Genomic DNA, 20,218 nt, shown 5'->3' with positions numbered 1-20,218 from the left:
CCAGCACTTTGGGAGGCTGAGACGGGCAGATGACCTGAGGTCAAGAGTTCAAGACCAGCCTGGCCAACATGGTGAAACCCTGTCTCTACTAAAAATACAAAAATTAGCCAGGCGTGGTGGCAAACGCCTATAATCCCTAGCCACTCAGGAGGCTAAGGCAGGAGAATCGCTTGAACCCGGGAGGAGGAGGTTGCAGTAAGCTGAGATTGCGCCACCGCACTCCAGCCTGGACGAGACAGTGAGACTCTGTCTCAAAAAAAAAAAAAAAAAAAAAAAATTTTAAGTGAATTTAGAGGCAGGTGACACAATTCAACCGCTAACTTAGACCCTAATCAAACCCTTCCACTGGTGTCTGTGGAGTTTGTTTCTTTTTCATGCCTCCCGTTTTTATCTTCTCTGTGTCTATCTGTACTTCTCTAACCAGGATCTTTACAGCCATAATGCCTATGGTAGCAGCGGGACTGATAATAGATGACCCCACACTGCAGCCTGTCCGACGACTTGTTTCCCTTGTAGGCACTGTGTGTGTTTTGGGTTTTGTTTGAGCTGCCCCCTTGGAATGTCTGCTTCGGCTACTGCTGGGGCTGACCTGTCTCCCCCTGGCCACTTAAGCTGCATGGCCGCCACCTGTGTGCTCCATTTGACGTGGATGTTGAGTGTGATTTCAGCTGTGCCACTGGCTGCGCTCGGTCTACTCGAGCGAAGCCTCAGAATTCTCGGCTCTGTCACCGATAATTCTTTTTGTCTCTTCTGTTTCTGTTTTAAAACCACCTTGCCCATGATCCAGTAAAGAAGGTCCTTTAAGTGACGGGTCAGTAATCAACGCCCACTGCGGTCCCCGAGTGACACTAACCCTATGTTTTTGATGTTCACCCTGTAGCTTTCTAAACTGCTTTGTTTTCCAAGCCATCTTCAAGTCAGCCATTTGATCTTGTTTTAAAAAGAAAGGCAGAGGAGGGGACCAGTGTTTTGATTCTGTCTGTGTCAGAAGTGCTAAGTGGCCTTCCTGTTTACCTGAGTCAGAGAGAGGTGAAGCGTAACCGTGAGGTGTTGCTGCTGTATTTTTCGCCAGTTAATTGCCTGGATTACTCTATGGAAGGAGCTCACAAATAACCCAGTGTGAGAATTGTGCCTTCATTCACCAGCACACTTACCTGTCACAGAGAAAAGGCATCTTAGTCGCTAGGGAGAGTTTCATCAGATAAACTTGGCTTGCCGTGGCTTTGCAATGAAAGATCAGTTTATTCCTGGTAGAAAGTGAGTGTAGGATCCAGTAACCACAGAAGAGTGAAATCATTTTCACCCAGATGTGATTAAAACTAAACTCTGGAGGCTGCAACACTAGCAACCAGCAAACAGAGGGAACCAAAAATAGTTTATCCGAAGCTTTGATTTCGCAGTGGCTTTGTTCCTATTCTTGCCTCCCAGGAAACATAACATGCTATTATATGATATCTCTTACCAAGTTCAGAGCCATAATTCACATAGTGGCTAACGCCTGTGATCCCAGGTGTTGGTGACGGCCGGGCTCGGCAGCTCATGCCTGTAATCCCAGCACTTTGGGAGGCCAAGGCAGGTGGATCATTTGAAGTCAGGAGGTTGACACCAGCCTGACCAACATGGTGAAGCCCCGTCTCTACTAAAAATACAAAAAAATTAGCTGGGCGCAGTGGCATGCACCTGTAATCCCAGCTGCTTGGGAGGCTGTGGCAGGAGAATCGCTTGAACCTGGGAGGCAATGGTTGCAGTGAACTGAGATCAAGCCACTGCACTGCAGCCTGGATGACAGAGCGAGACTCCGTCTCAAAAAAAAAGAGTAGAACTTGGTGACAACAGAAGGAATCTTAATAGAGCCTGGTAGTATCAAAGGACAGTTTTAGGAAGAGCTTTTGGGAATTCCTCAAGGTAGGCCAATTTCAGGTTCACTGACCAGGGTCCTAGTTTGTTTACATGACCTCAAAGCAGACCTTGTTTTAAAGGGACTACTTTGGCCAGGCACAGTGGCTCACGCCTGTAATCCCAGCACTTTGGGAGGCCAAGGCAGGTGGATCACCTGAGGTCAGGAGTTTGAGACCACCTTGGTCAGCATGGTGAAACCCCATCTCTACTAAAAATACAAAAACTTAGCTAGGTGTGGTGGCGGGTGCCTGTAATCCCAGCTACTCAGGATGCTGAGGCAGAAGAATCACTTGAACCGGGGAGGTGGAGGTTGCAGTGAGCCATTGCACTCCAGCCTGGGCAACAAGAGTGAAACCCCATCTCAAAAATAAAAAATAAAAATAAAAATAAATGGACTACCTTGCAGGCTTTTTGCTTGTGACTTTTTTTTTTCTTTTGTTTTTTTCTTTCTTTTTTCTATGGTAACAAACTCAAGTATGCTTATGACTTCTGCCTTTATCTTTCAGGCATCTGAAAGTTCCTGATGGCTCTCTCTGATCAATATGCAACAGTCACAGCTGTTTTAAAAAGACCTCTGTCTACCTCAGTTAAAGTCTGAGGCCAGACTAACTGTGGCTCTGTAGCTGGTTACAGTGATACGGCCTAAAGGCTTTCACCATTAGATCTATTTTTGAAAGTGCAAATGGATGTTTCCCTAATTTTATATCAGAGAACCATGCGTACCATGTTTTACTTATATATATATATTTATTTTATTTTTTTAGACAGAGTCTTGTTCTCTTGCCCAGGCTGGAGTGCAGTGGCGTGATCTCGGCTCACTGGAACCTCCGCCTCCCAGATTCAAGCGATTCTCCTGCCTCAGCCTCCTAAGTAGCTGGGATTACAGGCGTGTGCCACCACACCTGGATAATTTTTGTATTTTTAGTAGAGACGGGGTTTCACCACGTTGGCCAGGCTGGTCTCGAACTCCTGACCTCAAGTGATCTGCCTGCCTCGACCTCCCAAAGTGCTGGGGTTACAGGCGTGACCCATCGCGCTCAGCCCATAGTATATGTTTTATTGTTCATTTTTCTTAAGTACTTCCTTTAGCCTCATCTAAGCAGTAATGTCCATGAAATCTGGGCCACAGTTTCCTGACTGACATTAAACAAATACAGAACTATTTAAATTAGAAATACTCATTCGTTTACAACAGAATCCTCTTATATTCCACACGGTTTTCAAGTATTCCTTTCTCTGCGTCATTAGGGTAATTAAAGAAACCCAAGATTTGTTTCAGCAGCTTTTGATTTCCACTGGTAACGGGATAAATCCTCCATAGCGGCTAACGTGGAAGACACCTCACACATCACATCAGCATGCATGCCTTGCCCATACCGCGTGACCTCCAAGGTACCGTGTCCAAATGACACGCAGAATACCCTGCTGCTTTCTTGGAATAACTTTGACCTGCACCCCCAACTTTGTCTTTCACACCTTGAATTGATTTGCTCCCTTCTAAGTTTGCTGCTATATGTCTCCGGCATTGCAAAAAACGTGACTTGCACAGCAAAGGGTCAGCTCTCATTTCTGTGTTTGCTTTCCCTTCCAAAGGTTTAGCTTCTTCTCCCGAGATAAGAAGCGCCTGGCCAACACACAGAGAAACGTGCACATCCAGGAGTCCTTTGGACAGTGGGCAAACACCCACCGCGATGACGGTTACACAGAGCAAGGACAGGAAGCCCTGCAGCATCTGTGACCTTGGCCCATCTCCACCCTCCAACCTGGACTGCCCGCCACCAGCGCCTGCAACCGAACTGCAGCCCAGGGGTCATTGCTGCCTCAAGCCTCTCGGTGCAGATGCACCCTGAAAACTGACCCCTCAAACAGACTGTCTGATTTGAGGATGGACATTGAAAAACTGACGCCAAACTCTAAAGAAATGTTTATTTATACCCAGGGCTATCACTGTTTCTAATAGATGACTCTGATCCCGTAGGATATATATTTAATAATCCCACAAACGGAGGCCAGACTTCTGCGTTAACTTCAGTAACACAAGCTTCTTTAAGCCAAATACATCACTTGCCACTATCATTGCTGTTTGACTTGCTTTGTATAAAATGCTATGTGTAGAGGTTTTATTATCACAGGTGACATAGTTCAGCAGGAGGCATGGAAGGGCTAGATCTTCATTAGTTACATTCATGAAATTGTGATGGTAACGTATTATACAGAATGTATCCATCAGGCAGACAAGGGGTCTGAAGTCACAGGCTCAGTAGCCCAACTCAGACACAAAGCCACAGACAATATGGATGATGGTCCTCTTACCCAGAAACTGGAGACAACTTTGCAGGCACCCTGGCTGCGTTCCTGATAATGCCTAGAGCATGTAGCAATGTTCAAGGCAGGTGCCTTGGAATCTGCTGTGAGTTATGCAGTACTAACCAAACAAAGTTGCTAAGGATGAGATGTTGCAACATTTCTTGTGTGCACTTTTTTTTCCTGACATCTTTTTTTCCTTTTAGGATTCATTAAGTCATATACTTAGTCCCCTGCAAAGAAGAAGACAGATGTCCCAGAGCAGACTGAAAGCGGGGCGTGGGATCCTAGGCAATGCAGGAGGGCAGGTGGGGGAGCTGTAGCAGAACAAGGGTGCTAGGTGGGAAGCTGGCTTGGGGACCACACGTCTGGCTGACTCACAGGGCTATAGCAGCAGACAGAGAGCCAGATGCTCTACTGCAACTGGTGAGTTGGAGGCTTGCCCACATAACACTGTCTTTCTCTCCACCCGCCAAGCATCCAGGGCACAGGGCTGGTTGCTCACAGATTGAGCGAGGTAGCACCTCCTACCAGCACTCAAGTTTATCAGGGCCGCGTTCTAAACATTCTACTGAAGTTTGCTAAGAAACCATTAGGTGAGGCTGGGCACAGTGGCTCACGCCTGCTATCCCAGCACTTTGGGAGGCCGAGGCAGGTGGGTCACTTGAGGTCCGGAGTTCGAGACCAGCTTGGCCAACACGGTGAAACCCCATCTCTACAAAAATACAAAAAAATTAGCCAGGCGAGGTGGTGCATGCCTATAATCCCAGCTGCTCAGGAGGCCGAGACAGGAGAATTCCTTGAACCTAGGAGGCAGAGGTTGCAGTGAGCCTAGATCGTGCCATTGCACTCCAGCCTGGGCGACAGAGTGAGACTTCATCTAAAAAAAAAAAAAAAAAGAAAGAAAGAAACCATCAGGTGAATTTGCAGAATCTAGAATGGACTCTGCTTCCAGATTGCCGAAAAAAAGAAATGATCAGACAGGGTAATTATTGCTGCGTTAGAGCAGTGTTTCTCAAACCTGAGTGCCCATTAGAATTATTAGAATTTATTCTCAAAGAGTATAGAAGCAGGTATACTGATGAATTTCTCTCCCACCCCTGGCCACCTTTGTTGCCCTTCCAACAGGTAACCAAAATTGCCAGTTTCTTGGTTATCTTTCCTAAACACTAAATGTCTCTCTTTTTTTTGAGATAGTCTTGCTCTATTGCCCAAGCCAAAGTATAGTGGCACCATCTCTGCTCACTGCAACTTCCGCCTCTTGAGTTCAAGCAATTCTCATGCCTGAGCCTCCCAAGTAGCTGGGACTACATGTGTGTGCCACCATACCTGACTAATTTTTGTATTTTTAGTAAAGACGGGGTTTCACCATGTTGGCCAGGCTGGTCTCGAGGTCTCGAACTCCTGACCTCAAGTGATTCACCTGCCTTGGCCTCTCAAAGTGCTGGGATTACAGGTGTGAGCCACTGTGGCTGGCCTTTTTTTTTTTTTTTTTTTTGGACACAGGGTCTCACTCTGTCACCTAGGCTGGAGTACAGTGGCACTATCATAGCTCATTGCAGCTATGAACCCCTGGGCTCAAGCAATCCTCCCACCTCAGCCTCCCAAGTAGCTGGTACTACTGATGTGCACCACCATGCCCAGCTAATTATTTTTTGTAGAGACCAGGTCTTACTTTGTTGCCTAAGCTGGTCTCAAACTCCTGGGCTCAAGTGATCCTCACACCCCAGCCTCCCAAAGTGCTGGGAATTCAGGTGTGAGCCACCGTGCCTGGCCAAATGTCACTTTTTTGATAAGTCAGCAGATCCAGCTCTTGAGCACATCAGAGGCTAGATAATCGGGACAGAAAGGAAAAATCAATCCATCAGAAAGTTTATACATGCAATTATGTAAAATAAAATCAAGAACAAAAAGCATATATATATGTACATGTGTGTATATATTCCTTCTTTCCTTTTTTCTTAAGGGACAAGGTCTTACTATGTCACCAAGGCTGGTCCCAAACTCCTGGCCTCAAGCAATCCTCCTGCCTCAGCCTCCCGAGTAGATGGGACTATAGACATGAACCACCATACCTGGCCCTCCTTTTTTTTTTTATTTAAATGGCAGCATAATATATTCATGCTGTTCTGTGCTTTTCTTTTTTCCCCTTGAAATATCCTAGAGAGGGCCAAGGTGCAGTGGGTCACACCTATAATCCCCATATTTTGGGAGGTCAAGTAGGGAGGATCACTTGAGCCCAGGAGTTTAAGACAAACCTAGGTGACATAGCAATAACCCACCTCTACAAAAAATTAATTAAAATAAAAAAATAGGTGGGTGTGGTGGTGTACACCTATGATCTCAGCTACTTGGGAGGCTAAGGCAGGAGGATCCCTTGAGCCCAGTTCAAGGCTGCAGTGAGCTGTGATCACACCACTGCACTCCAGCCTGGGGGACAGAGTGAGACCCTGCCTCAAAAAAGAAAAAAAAATGTATAGCAATAACTCCATATGAGTACATAAGACAGCGGCTCTCATGGCCAGGAGCAGTGGTTCATACCTGTAATCCCAGCACTTTGGGAGGCTGAGGCAGGCAGATCATGAGGTCAGGAGTTTGAGACCAGCCTGGCCAACATAGAGAAATCCCATCTCTACTAAAAATACAAAAATTAGCTGGGCATGGGGGCATGCGCCTGTTGTCCCAGCTACTCAGGAGGCTGAGGCAGGAGAATCGCTTGAACCCGGGAGGCAGAGTTTGCAGTGAGCGGAGATCGCACCACTGCACTCCAGCCTGGGCGACAGAGCGAGACTCTGTCTCAAAAAAAAAAAGAAAAGACAGTGGCTCTCAACCACGGATGACTGAGCCCCCCAGGGGACATTTGGCAGTCTGGAGACATTTTTGATTGTCACAACTGGAGGGGGAGAGAGGATACTGTCATCTATGGGTAGACACCAAGGAAGGTGCTAATGAACATCCTACAATGCCCTGGTCTACCATATGGGGGTGATATTTATTAATGTTTATCTAGGCCCCACTGATGGACAGGTAGCTTCCTTCCAATCCTTTACTCTCAAAAAGTGTTGCACACTGTCACACACACAAAAGTCTACAGAATAAACTAGAAGCAGAATTGCTAGATCAAAGAGTATTTGCTTCTGTCATGTTCATGGAGACTGCCAAAGTCCCTACCATGGAGGCTGTACCATTGTTTTTCTTTCAAAGTCACCACAGCCCATAGAACACTAAGCCCAAATGTACAGGGTTGGAGTCTGAGTGTGCAAGTTTTTTGTTTTTTGTTTTGAGACAGGGTCTTACTCTGTCACCCAGGTTGGAGTGCAGTGGCACAATCTCAGCTCACTGCAACCTCTGCTTCCCGGGCTCGAGCAATTCTCCAGCCTCAGCCTCCCAAGTAGGTGGGACTACAGGCAAGCAAAACCAACACCCGGCTAATTTTTGTGTTTTTCGTAAAGAGAAGTTTTCACCACGTTGCCCAGACTGGTCTCGAACTGCTGAGCTCCAAGCCATCCACCTGTCATGGCCTCCCAAAGTGCTGAGATTACAGCCGTGAGCCATCACGCCCAGCCTCAGTGTGCATGTTTTCTTTTTTTCTTTTCTTTTTTTTTTTTTTTTTGAGACAGAGTCTCGCTCTGTCGCCCAGGCTGGAGTGCAGTGGTCCGGTCTTGGCTCACTGCAACCTCCGCCTCCTGGGTTCAAGCCATTCTCCTGCCTCAACCTCCTGAGTAGCTGGGATTACAGGCACCTGCCACCACGCCCAGTTAATTTTTGTATTTTTAGTAGGGATGGGGCTTTACCATGTTGGCCAGGATGGTCTCGAACTCCTGTCCTCAGGTGATCTGCCCGCCTCGGCCTCCCAAAGTGCTGGGATCACAGCCGTGAGCACCGTGCCCAGCCAAGTGTGCATGTTTTCAATCTCTCCCTGTTCTGATGCTCAGAGTTGACAACTACACAAACACTGCAACTGGCTTTGCTTTTTGTCCTGATGGTATCTCACAAGGCTTCCCTAATGCAGGCAGTCTTGTTTTCTAGACAATCTACCAACCCTAGCCCACAACACCCTTCTGGTGCCATAATAAGGGAACACTTTGTAAATTAAATGTGAGTGAAATCAAAAAGGTTTCCTGCAAGGTTGTTTTCTGAGACTTGGGAAATAATAAAATTCTGTACTGGAAATTCACAAAGGAAAGGGCCTATTTTTCTAAAACTGTTCTAACAGCTGACAGCAATTTTAAGCCACAGCAGGTTGGTCCAGTTCCCTGTATAATATCATGAGAGATTCATACTCCTATGCGAAAACCTAGCAATGGTACTAAATCATTTATTTTGCATGAAACATCTTGAATTTTCAGAATATGAACTTTCAAAGACGGCCATTTATCAAAATGCTAAATGTCACTTTTTTGAAAATCATCCGAACAGTATGGTACTTGCTCAAAGTCCTCAGAAGTTAAGGTCAGCAGATCTAGCTCTCGAGCACCCCAGAGACTAGATAAGAGAGAAAGGAAAAATCAATCCATCAGAACTAGCTGTAATTCTTTCATAGATCCTGACCACTCCTTATTCTTCATTTTCATTTCACCACCACTTCTGTCTAACTTTATCTTTTCAAAGGGCTGGAAGGCTGCCATAGATCACAGCCCAGCAACTTTGGTTTTTAATTTTAAATGTCAGTCAGAAAAAGAAGAAAGGCAGTCGGCATTTTGAGTGAGAATGGAAGTGCATTTGTTCAAGAATGCTGACCTGGCTGTGCAGACTGCCTTCTGGTATTAGGGCTCTGGACATTCTCCTTGAATTCACTTTTCTATCCCATTTTTATTTCAATTCAGCAAACTCTTGGGCTATGGATATAAAGATAGAAAAGATACAATTTATTCTGACCAGATTAGTGTTCTTCCTCTAAGGACTCAGAGGAGTGTGATTAGGTCATAACCTCTTTTTGCCACGTACTCAAGATGATCATTTAAAATAGATGGAAGAAAATCAAATTCCTACTGCCAAATTAAATCTGAATACTAGCTCCTTACAAATGCCCTTCTGGCTGGGCGCAGTGGCTTATGCCTGTAATCCCAGCACTTTGGGAGGCTAAGGCAGGTGGCTCATTTGAGGTCAAGAGTTGGAGACCAGGCCAGGAGTAGTGGCTCACACCTGTAATCCCAGCACTTTGGGAGGCCAAGGCAGGTGGATCATCTGAGGTCAGGAGTTCGAAAACAGCCTGACCAACATGGTGAAACCCCATCTCCACTAAAAATACAAAAATTAGTCGGGCATGGTGGCACATGCCTGTAATCCCAACTACTGGGGAGGCTGAGGCAGGAGAATCACTTGAACCCAGGAGGCAGAGGTTACAGTGAGCCAAGATTTTACCACTGCACTCCAGCCCTGGCAACAGAGTGAGACTCTGTCTCAAAAAAAAAAAAAAGAAAAGAAAAGAAAATGCCCTTCTGTACAGATGCCAGTAACTACAAAATTGCTTCTTGATCCTGTTAAATAACATGTCCTTAGAACTATGTGAGGAAGATGATAAATTCCTATCAGCTTGAACCGAAGTTCCAGATTGGAAAGAAAACTATTCCAAACCCCATGATCATCAGTAAGTTTTATTCAACCATTAGACTCACGCTGCGTTGAAAGACAATCCCCCTCCACTCATTTCCACTGTAACTTCACTTTGGGGTTCTGCTGTTGGGCCTCTACTTGCCTCTTTCCTTCTTCTCCCTCCCCTTGATCCTGTCATCTCTGAAGTCCCTCTCTCTCTCCCAGTCATTGTCGGGCCACACCCTGGTCGGCTCTCTTTCTTGCCATCTCTTCTCCCGGCCCCTGTCATGGTCTCGATCCCTTGTCCTCGAGTCCCAGTGTCTTTCTCGGGATCGAGATCGCTCCCGCCTTTCCCGTTTTCCCTCTCTATAGAGGTCGTTTTTAACAACTGGCAAGTTAATAGGTTTTCGAAAAGGCCGGTCCCGTCCCCCAAATCTCAGTTGCCCAGACTCCTTTTTTCCCCCAAGACCGCCTCCAAGTCGCCGAGGGATCCACCCTTTGAGAGTCCTTTCCAGCTCGTAGTCCACAAATATCTCATGCTGGTCAATAACCAGGCCATCAGCATCTCGGTAAGCTTTGATCACGGCACGCTCCTCCTTGTATTCGATGAAGGCGTAGCCCTTTGAAAAACCTGTGACCAAGTCCCTGACCAGCCGAAGCCGCCGGATGTCACCATAGCGGGAAAAGACTTCCTTTAATTTGTCCTCCTTGGTCTGCAAGTTTAGTCTGGCCACAAACAGGGTGAGGAGGGGATCTCCTATGACACCTTTGTTGGGGACATATCGTGCCAGCATTGCCCTCCAGACCGCGCGGTCGTGTGGGTCTTCATCGGTGCCATCAATGCTGCCCGCTTTGAGTGGATCATACTCCTTGGCGATGGGCATCCAATCGTTCATGTTCTATGAATGATAAGAGCAAGCGTGGATGGAGCCTCTACTCTGAGCCACTCATTCAACCCTTACAACAATGCCATGAAAAGGATACTATCATTCACCTCTTCTTAAAAACAGGAAAGGAAGGGAACACCCACAGAGGCTAAGTCCTCCCTGCTAGTAAGTGGGGGAGACAGCACCAAAGCCAGGCAGTTGTGCTCCAGAGAAGCCCTTACCCACTCCTACAAATGCCCTCTCAGGAAGCAGAGGGCAGCGTGCTCGGGTTTCACCCATATATGCAGCATCTGGCTCAGCCACGGAAGGGCACTTACCAACTATGAACACATTACAATGTGGCAACGTGGATCAAAACCAGACTTCTCTTTCAGAACCTTTAAAATGATCATAGGAAAACTAGCCCAGGAACTGCTGGTGGAAAATGGCAATTTAAAAACTCTACTACCAAGAATATCAAATACCAACATAGAGAATCATATAATAACCCTCCACAAACTTCTCACCCGGCTCAACTAGAACCACCATGCACATGTGGCCAGAATAATCTGCCCCCAGATAATTCTGAAACAAATTCTAGATATCACATCATTCGTGTGGAAATTTTTTTACTATGCATCATTAAAAGATATAGACTTTTTTAAAACTACAAGAGAAAACAGGGATTTGGATGCACCATTCTGTAGTAAACAGACAACAAAGCTAAGGCTACAGTGACCCAGCAGCGGGAGCGGGTTATTTGTCTCAAAAGGAACATGGGATTTCTTCTCAGATCCCTAGCTGATAATCCGTTTAGACTGGGAGCATGAGAATTTACTGCAATGGTAATTTTTTGTCCAGCAAGCACACTGCAGTTGTCATGCCTTCTGATACATAGTTAATTCATGTGAATCTTTGCTGGAATAATAAAATGCTTACTAATATTTCAGACCCAGCTAATGCTTATGTGACCAACCTGCAACGCTGTAGAGCCAATGCTGAAATATGTTACTTAAAAACCTTGGCTGAGGCCAGACGCGGTGGCTCACGCCTGTAATCCCAGCACTTTGGGAGGCCGAGGCGGGCGGATCATGAGATCAGGAGATCGAGACCATCCTGGCTAACACGGTGAAACGCTCTCTCTACTAAAAAATACAAAAAAAATTAGCCGGGCATGATGGCGGGCGCCTGTAGTCCCAGCTACTCAGGAGGCTGAGGCAGGAGAATGACTTGAACCCGGGAGGCGGAGCTTGCAGTGAGCAGAGTTCGCGCCACTGCACTCCAGCCTGGGCGACAGAGCAAGACTCCATCTCAAAAAAAAAAAAAAAAACCTTGGCTGGCTGGGTGCAGTGACTAACGCCTATAATCCCAGCACTTTAGGAGGCTGAGGCAGGTGGATCACCTGAGGTCAGGAGTTCGAGACCAGCCTGACCAACATAGAGAAACCCCATCTCAACTAAAAATACAAAATTAGCGGGGCGTGGTTGTAGGCGCCTGTAATCCCAGGTACTCAAGAGGCTGAGGCAGGAGAATCACTTGAACTAGGTTGGTGGAGGTTGCGGTGAGCCGAGACCACGCCATTGCACTCCAGCCTGAGCAATAAGAGCAAAATTCCGTCTCCAAAAAAAAAAAAAAAAAAATTAGCCAGGCGAGGTAGGTGGGCGCCTTAATCCCAGCTACTCAGGAGGTTGAGGCAGGAGAGTGGCTTGAACCCAGGAGGCGAGGTTGCAGTGAGCCGAGATTACACCACTGCACTCCAGCCTGGGCAACAAAGCGAGGCTCTGTCTCAAAAAAAAAAATAAAAAATAAAAACCAAACCAGGTCTTTCCTGGAAGAAGTCCCAAAAGTTAAGAAAAAAAACAAAACAAAACTGGCGAGCGCGGTAGCTCACGCCTGTAATCTCAGCACTTTGGGAGGCCAAGGTGGGCAGATCACGAGGTCAGGAGTTCAAGACCAGTCTGGCCAAGGAGTTTGAGACCAGTCTGGCCAATATGGTGAAACCCCGTCTCTACTAAAAATACAAAAATCAGCTGGGCACAGTTGCACACGCCTGTAGTCGCAGCTACTCGGGAGGTTGAGGCAGGAGAATTGCTTGAACCCAGGAGGCGGAGGTTGCAGTGAGCCGAGGTCGCATCACCGCACTCCAGCCTGGGTGACAGAGCGAGAGTCTGTCTCAAAAAAAGAAAGAAGAAAGAAAAAAAAAAAACTTGACCTGTTGCAGTGGCTCACACCTGTAATCCCAGTACTTTAGAAGGCCAAGGTGGGACGATCACTTGAGCTCAGGAGTTGGAGACCAGCCTGGGCAACATATCAAGACCTCATCTCTACTAAAATTCAAAAATATTAGCCAGGCATGGTGGTGCACGCCTGTAGTCCCAGCTACTAGGGGGGCTAAGACAGGAGGATGGCTTGAGCCTTGGAACTTGAGACTGCAGTGAGCCTTGATCATGCCACTGTACTTCAGTGTGGGTAACAGAGTGAGACCCTGTCTCAAAACAAAAACAAAAACAAAAAACCAGGTTTCTGTGAAATATATACAGTAGTTCTCATTCCTAACAGCATTTTTCCATAATATTTCTTAAAATATCTATAACTTTTTTCCTCTTACTCAAATTTTCCTCAAGGATCTTTCTGCTTTATTTCTCCCTCAGTTGATGGGTTATATAGGGGGAGTGATTACTTAGAGGTGCACTGTGAATTTTTCTTTCCTCAGTAAAAAAGCCAAACACCTACAGAATAAAATCCAAAATCAATGACACTGCACTCAAGACCTCTGACACTAGGCCGGGCACGATCTCACACCTGTAATCCCAGCACTTTAGGAGGCCAAGACGGGAGGATCACTTGAGGTCAGGAGTTCAAGACCAGCCTGGCCAACATGGTGAAACCCCATATCTACTAAAAATACAAAAAATTAGCTGGGCAAGGTGGTGCACACCCTGTAGTCTCAGCTACTTGGGAGGCTGAACCCAGGAGGCGAAGGTTGCAGTGAGCCGAGAACATGCCACTGCCCTCCAGCCTGGGCAACAGAGCGAGACTCCATCTCAGAAGAAAAAAAAAAAAAAAAAAAGACCTCTGACCCTCACTTAGCCTCTCACCATGTCCCATCATAAAACCTATTCTATTTTTCTCCTGATCCTTTCAACAGGAACAAAGCCTGTTTGTAAACTACCCAGGCTTGCTCCTCCTTCCTTGAATATGCCCTAATTCTCCAGCCCCATGTCTTTCCTAGTACAATTTTTCTTTCTTTTTGGCCTAAACCATTTGTGCAAACATCTCAGGATGATTTCTTCTCTTGGGAATATGCTCTCCCTGTCTATCTCCCTCATATCCACTTGCGGAAATTCTACTGGGCCTGTCAAGTCCAGATTTAGCTCCCTCCACCATGAAGCAACTGTGTCTTTCTCACAGCTCATTGAAACTTCTAAAGTCCTGATCATGTTTTGCCCAACACACAGTAAACACTCTTCAGTCTGGTGGCTCCAGATCCTAGGATGCTTTCTGATAAATACTGAGGAACTGAACCAACTCTGATCAAAAATCACAGAACTGGCCCGGCGCAGTGGCTCACGCCAGTAATCCCAGCATCTTGGGAGGCCGAGGCAGGCGGATCACGAGGTCAGCAGCTCAAGACCAGCCTCAGCAACATAGCGAAACCCCATCTCTACTAAACATACAAAAATTAGCTGGGTGTGGTGGCGGGCGCCTGCAGTCCCAGCTACTTGGGAGGCTGCAGCAGGAGAATCGCTTGAAACCAGGAGTCGGAGGTTGCAGTGAGCTGAAATTGCGCCACTGCACTCCAGCCTCATCAACACAGCAATACTCTGTCTCAAAAAAAAAAAAAAAAATCATAGAACTTTTTTTAGTCCAAATCAGGCAAACCTGATCATTGAGAAACAAGAACAGGACATGACACTGTTTACCACCACATGGTAAAAGGAGGGCAATATGTCTGTCATCATCAACAAGCAACTTTGCAGAGGCTGCCTCTCTGCTGTCAGTAAAAGAATGAAAAACAGATGGAGTGACAGAAGGAGCACAGGATGAGAGGGAGACAATTTCAGTCCTGGTCTGGGCTCTGGCTCTAACTCAATTTGTGTCTTCTCTCGTGGCTGGAATTTCTCCACGTGAAAAAAAGAAGAGGCAGCCGGGCGCGGTGGCTCATGCCTGTAATCCCAGCACTTTGGGAGGCCGAGGCGGGCAGATCACGAGGTCAGGAGATTGAGACCATCCTGGCTAACACAGTGAAACCCCGTCTCTACTAAAAATACAAAAAAAAAAAAAAAAATTAGCCAGGCGTAGTGGTGGGCGCCTGTAGTCCCAGCTACTCGGGAGGCTGAGGCAGGAGAATGGCGTGAACCCGGGAGGCAGAGCTTGCAGTGAGCTGAGATCCCGCCATTGCACTCCAGCCTGGGCGACAGAGCGAGACTCCGTCTCAAAAAAAAAAGAAAGAAGAGGCTGGGCGTGGTGGCTCACGCCTGTAATCCCAGCACTTTGAGAGGCCAAAATGGGAGGATCCCTTGAGCCCAGGAGTTCGAGACTAGCCTGGGCAACATGGGAAACATGGTGAGACCCTGTCTCTGTTTTTAAAAAAAAAAAAAAAAAAAAAAAAAAGGCCAGGCGCAGTAGCTCACGCCTGAATCCCAGCACTTTGGGAGGCAAAAGTGGGCAGATTGCCTGAAGTCGGGAGTTCGAGACTAGCCTGACCAACATGGAGTAACCCCGTCTCTATTGAAAATACAAAATTACCCAGGCATGGTGGTGCATGCCTGTAATCCCAGCTACAGAAGGCTGAGGCAGGAGAATCGCTTGAATTTTTTTTGAGACAGGGTCTTGCTCTGTTGCCCAGACTGGAGTACAGTGGCACAGTCATGGCTCACTGCAGCCTCTCCCACCCTAGCCTCCTGAGTACCTGGAATTACTCACTATGCGCCACCATACCCAGCTTTTTTTTTTTTTTTTTTTTTTGTAGAGATGGGGTCTCACTATATTGCATAGGCTGATCTTGAACTCCTGGGCATGAGCTATCCTTCTGCCTCAGCCTCCCAAAGTGCTGGGATTACACATGTGAGCCAGCGAACCCAGCCTGTACTAACCTCTTAACTCCTCTCACTTCTCAACAATACCAGGACTTAGGTACTATATTATTATTGCCTTTTCAGATGAAAAAGGTCAGACACAAAAAGGCAGCCTGTGCCCCAAATCCTAAAGCTAAGAAGTAGCCCAGTGGAGGAGTTAGAACCAGGGGCAGTGTGGACTCCAGAGCTAAAGCTCTTAATCGTTTCCTCTGATGCTTTTCATAAAATATAAGGTTTTGGAGATAAAGATAGGAAAAAGAAAACACACAAACCAGTATTCTGGGTGTCTGAGGCTGAGACCCACCCCTCCTCTCCTGAAGGAAAAGAACCCCTCCCCATTCAACGTTAAAAAGTCACAAGGGGCCCGGTGCAGTGGCTCACGCCAGCAATCCTAGCACTTGAGGAGGCCAAGATGAGCGGATCATTTGAAGTCAGGAGTCACAAGGATCTACCAAATAAAACTGATATTATTGTACACAGAGCTCCTGTTCAAAACTTTAAGACTTCTTCAAATTAAAATGGAGGAGAATTACAAACGGATAAGCATGGATTTTGTTCTCTCTCTCATCTGCATGCTTCTATAGATACTAACAGCTGGTTTCATTGTTTCTCATTAATCTTTCTAGGTGCACTTCCTCCCCGGCAGCATTAGGTTGAGATTTCCTACAACAATCTCTTTCGATTTTTACATTCTCTTTTTTTACTCGAGACAAAGTCTCACTCTGTCACCCAGGCTGGAGTGCAATGGCCAATCTCGGCTCACTGCAACCTCTGCCTCCCAGGTTCAAGTGATTCTCCTGCCTCAGCCTCCCGAGTAGCTGGGATTACAGACACACACCACCACGCCCAGCTAATTTTTGCATTTTTAGTACAGACAGGATTTCACCATGTTGGCCAAGCTGGTCTCAAACTCCTGATGTCAGATGACCCGCCTGCCTCAGCCTCCCAAAGTGCTGGGATTACAGGCGTGAACCACCGCGCCTGGGCCTCATTCTCATTTTACTCATCAACAGGGGATGAGAGCCGAAATGAATGGTGGGGGCCAGGGCGCGGTGGCTCATGCCTGTAATCCCAGCACTTTGGGAGGCCAAGGCGGGTGGATTATTTGAGGTCAGTAAATTTTGAGCTTCAGGATTCTTATTGTGAAATGTAGCTAAATGTCACTTCACTAGGTTTTTGTGAAGATTAGATCATATGGTGTCTATAAAAATGCATTACAATTATAAATTATTATACAAATTTAGAAAATTTTTGGCCAGGCACGCGCTGGCTCACGCCTGTAATACCAGCACTTTGAGAGGCCGAGGCTGGAGGATCGCTTGAGCCCAGAAATTCGAGACCAGCCTGGGCAACAAAGTGAGACCCCGTTTCAATCAATCAATCAATAATCAATTCTCCGGGCGTGGGGTCGCGCCTGTGGTCCCAGATACTTGAGAGGCTGAGGCGGGAGGACTGCTTGACCCGAAATGTCGACGCTGCAGTGAGCCGAGATCGCGCCACCGCTCTCCAGCCTGGGCGACTCCCTGTCTCTGGGGAAAAACAAAAAAATAAATGAAGCCTCTCCTTCCTGGGTCTTCGGGGTAAGACTCTGCCCCTCCTGGCCGGGCACGGTGGCTGACGGCTGTAATCCCAGCACTTTGGGAGGCCGAGGCGGGTGGATCACGAGGACAGGAGATCGAGACCATCCTGGCTAACATGGTGAAACCCCGTCTCCAGTAAAATACAAAAAATTAGCAGGGCGTGGTGGCGGGCGCCTGTAGTCTCAGCTACTCGGGAAGCTGAGGCAGTGGAATCGCTTGAACCCAGGAGGCGGAGGTTGCAGTGAACCGAGATCGCACCACTGCACTCCAGCCCGGGCGACAGAGCAAGACTGTCTCAAAAAGGAAAAAAAAAAAAAAAAGACTTTGCCCCTCCTGTGAAAAGCAAAACTGAAGGCGGAACCCACAGAGCCCTCCAGGGCATGCGCAGTGGGCCTCGGAGGCAAACACCTAAGTTTCTGTGGAAAAGCCTATCCTTCCCATCCAGCCTGCAGCCTGGCCGCCAACCCTCGAGGCCGCTCCCCCGCCCCTCTCCTTCTCTGGGGGCCGCAGGGAGTAAGGCGCCATCCTTCCAATCCAGCTCTCGTCCCCACTCCCCGCAACGCAACCCAGAATGTCGTCCCCTTTGCCAGGTTTCAACATGGCGCCCCACACAAGCGCGGGCACAGCGTCTGGGCCGCACTCCCTCTTCCTTCTCTCCGGCGTGGGGCCCGCTCCTTCCAAGCCGCTTCCACTCACCTCTGCAAAGCTTGGGCTCCCTTCCGACGGAGACAGGCGAGCAGCTGCAGGCGACAGCAGATTCTCCGCGCCGGCCTCGGCCTGACCTTTACATTGGTAGCAGCAGATTCGCCGCCGACGCTCGTTTCCTGTTTGTTTTACCTTTAAAATTTTACTCCCACGCAACGAGGGTGTTATCATCTCCGAAGACAATAAGCTAAAAAAAAATTTTTTTAAGAGAAAAATTGCTAATTCAACAACTAAGTTGAAAGAAAGACTATCGAATATGCAGTTACCTGGGACATTTTACTTTATTATTTATTTATTCTTATTTATTATTTTTTCTTGAGACGGAGACTCCCTCTGTCGCCCAGGCTGGAGTGCAGTGGTGCGAACTCGGCTCACTGCAACCTCCGCCTCCCGGGTTCAAGTGATTTTCCTGCCTCAGCCTCCCGCGTAGCTGGGATTACTGGCGCCCGCCACCACGCCCGGCTATTTTTTGTATTTTTAGTAGAGACAGGGTTTTGCCATGTTGGCCAGGCTGGTCTCGAACTTCTGACCTCAAGTGATCCGCCCGCCTCGGCCTCCCAAAGTGCTGGGATTACAGGCGTGAGCCATCGCGCCCGGCCCCAATTTCTTTATAAAAAAAAAAAAAAAAAAAAAGGCCAGGTGGCATGCCTCACGCCTGTAATCCCAGCACTTCGGGAGGCCGAGGCGGGCGGATCACCTGAGGTTCGGAGTTCGAGACCAGCCTGAGCAACATGGAGAAACCCCTTCTCTACTAAAAATACAAAATTAGCTGGACATGGTGTCATGTGCCTGTAATCCCAGCCACTCAGGAGGCTGAGGCAGGAGAATCACTTGAACCCGGGAGGCAGAGGTTTCGATGAACTGAGATGGTGCCATTGCACTCCAGCCTGAACAACAAGAGTGAAAGTCCGTCTCAAAAAAAAGAAAAATCTATAGCTTAAAATTTTATGTTTGAAAATATATGGTAGCCACTGTCAGTGGAGGCCATCTGCAGTTTCAGCTACTAGGGAGGCTGAGTCGTGAGGCTTGAGGCCAGGAGTTCAAGTTCAGCCTGTCAGCCTGGGCAACAGAGCAAGACCCCTATGTTGTTGTTTGTTTGTTTGTTTTTGTTTTGTTTTGTTTGAGACAGAGTTTCACTCTTGTTGCCCATATTGGAGTGCAATGGCACGATCTCGGCTGACCGCAACCTCCGCCTCCCAGGTTCAAGCAATTCTCCTGACAGCCTTCCGAGTAGCTGGGATTACAGGCATGTGCCACCATGCCCGGCTAATTTTGTATTTTTAGTAGAGATGGGGTTTCTCCATGTTGGTCAGGCTGGTCTTGAACTCCCGATCTCAAGTGATCTGCCTGCCTTGGCCTCCCAAAGTGCTGGGATTACAGGCGTGAGCCACCACACCTGGCTGACCCCTATGCTTTTAAACACACACACACACACACACACACACACACACACACACACACACACACACACGTGGTATGTACAGTACATGCAATGGAATACTATTTCTCCTTAAAAAGAAATGAAATTCTAATTGCTACAACATCATGAATGAACGTAGTTCATGGATGAACCATGCTAAGTGAAAGAAGCATAAGGACAAATACTGTATGGTTCCACTTATATGAGGGACCTAGGATAGTCAAATTCATGGTTGGAAAGTACAGCAGTGGTTATCAGGGGCTGCTGTGGGTGTTAGGAAGATGGCGAGGTATTGTTTAACAGATACAGAGGTTCAATTTGAGATGATGAAGAAGTTCTGGAAATAGATAGTACAGATGGTTTCACAACAATGTGAATCTACCTAATGTTATTTAATAGTTAAAACAGACTGGCCGGGCGAGGAGGCTAAGGCCTGTAATCCCAGCACACTGGGAGGCCAAGTTGGGAGGATCACGAGGTGAGGAGATCAAGACCAGCCTGGCCAACATAGTGAAACCGCATCTCTACTAAAAATACAAAAATTAGCTGGGTGTGCTGGCGGGCACCTGTAATCCCAGCTACTTGGGAGGCTGAGGCAGGAGAATAGCTTGAACCTGGGAGTCAGAGGTTGCAGTGAGCCGAGATTGCGCCATGGTACTCCAGCCTAGGCGACACAGCGAGACTGCATCTCAAAAAAAAAAAAAAAAAAAAAAAAAAGAACCAGGCACGTTGGCTTACGCCTATAATCTCAGCACTTTGGGAGACCAAGGAAGGCAGATTACTTGAGGCCAGAAGTTCAAGACCAGCCACGCCAACATGGTGAAACCCCAT

General features: G+C 47.4%; 2 protein-coding genes across 11 annotated transcripts in view, besides 5 other annotated features; one reads left to right on the top strand and one right to left on the bottom strand.

Annotated features, from left to right (window-relative positions):
- RILPL1 (Rab interacting lysosomal protein like 1) overlaps positions 1 to 6,121 on the top strand; it is a 63,666-nt gene extending 57,545 nt beyond the window's left edge. For 3 of the 5 annotated variants that reach the window (NM_178314.5, NM_001319302.2, NM_001319244.2), the window contains one exon: positions 3,493 to 6,121. In NM_178314.5, coding sequence (NP_847884.2) covers positions 3,493 to 3,637 — 145 coding nt within the window. In that variant the 3' untranslated portion in view covers positions 3,638 to 6,121. Of the gene's footprint in view, positions 1 to 424; positions 513 to 3,147; positions 3,291 to 3,492 lie in introns of those variants that run through there. The other 2 variants (NM_001319243.2, XM_047428787.1) reach the window with 2 other exon arrangements.
- Positions 3,021 to 18,036, bottom strand: SNRNP35 (small nuclear ribonucleoprotein U11/U12 subunit 35). Of its 6 annotated transcripts, XR_001748560.3 has the most exons (4): positions 17,959 to 18,036; positions 9,822 to 10,637; positions 8,944 to 9,041; positions 8,506 to 8,688 (listed from the first exon to the last, which is right to left on the bottom strand). XR_001748560.3 is itself a non-coding variant. In NM_022717.4 (2 exons), exon 2 carries the CDS (start codon positions 10,632 to 10,634, stop codon positions 9,894 to 9,896), a length of 741 nt encoding a protein of 246 aa, NP_073208.1. In that variant the 5' UTR covers positions 10,635 to 10,637; positions 17,959 to 18,036; the 3' UTR covers positions 9,239 to 9,893. The 6 variants fall into 6 exon arrangements, 2 of the variants coding, with proteins under 2 accessions (NP_073208.1, NP_851030.1); XR_001748562.3 differs by lacking the exons at positions 8,506 to 8,688; positions 8,944 to 9,041 and adding an exon at positions 5,879 to 6,032; XR_001748561.3 differs by lacking the exon at positions 8,944 to 9,041.
- Positions 7,079 to 7,373: a silencer, noted in NCBI's record as "tiled region #13608; K562 Repressive DNase matched - State 18:Pol2". NCBI's record gives its function as "represses a minimal TATA promoter and a strong SV40 promoter by Sharpr-MPRA in K562 cells {active_cell/tissue: K562}" and the evidence as "EXISTENCE:reporter gene assay evidence [ECO:0000049][PMID:27701403]".
- Positions 10,564 to 11,065: an enhancer, noted in NCBI's record as "H3K27ac hESC enhancer chr12:123949657-123950158 (GRCh37/hg19 assembly coordinates)". NCBI's record gives its function as "activates a minimal SCP1, AML or CMV promoter by ChIP-STARR-seq in naive H9 embryonic stem cells {active_cell/tissue: H9 hESC(naive)}" and the evidence as "EXISTENCE:reporter gene assay evidence [ECO:0000049][PMID:30033119]".
- Positions 16,617 to 17,482: an enhancer, noted in NCBI's record as "NANOG-H3K27ac-H3K4me1 hESC enhancer chr12:123943240-123944105 (GRCh37/hg19 assembly coordinates)". NCBI's record gives its function as "activates a minimal SCP1, AML or CMV promoter by ChIP-STARR-seq in naive H9 embryonic stem cells {active_cell/tissue: H9 hESC(naive)}" and the evidence as "EXISTENCE:reporter gene assay evidence [ECO:0000049][PMID:30033119]".
- Positions 17,483 to 18,349: an enhancer, noted in NCBI's record as "NANOG-H3K27ac-H3K4me1 hESC enhancer chr12:123942373-123943239 (GRCh37/hg19 assembly coordinates)". NCBI's record gives its function as "activates a minimal SCP1, AML or CMV promoter by ChIP-STARR-seq in naive H9 embryonic stem cells {active_cell/tissue: H9 hESC(naive)}" and the evidence as "EXISTENCE:reporter gene assay evidence [ECO:0000049][PMID:30033119]".
- Positions 17,729 to 17,808: an enhancer, noted in NCBI's record as "active region_7270". NCBI's record gives its function as "activates an Ori minimal core promoter by ATAC-STARR-seq in GM12878 lymphoblastoid cells {active_cell/tissue: GM12878}" and the evidence as "EXISTENCE:reporter gene assay evidence [ECO:0000049][PMID:35858748]".

This window comes from Homo sapiens, chromosome 12, assembly GCF_000001405.40.
Source record: "Homo sapiens chromosome 12, GRCh38.p14 Primary Assembly".
NCBI lineage: Eukaryota > Metazoa > Chordata > Mammalia > Primates > Hominidae > Homo > Homo sapiens.
The sequence above is the reverse complement of the archived record's forward strand: the minus strand, read 5'-3'. Positions and strand labels throughout refer to the sequence as shown.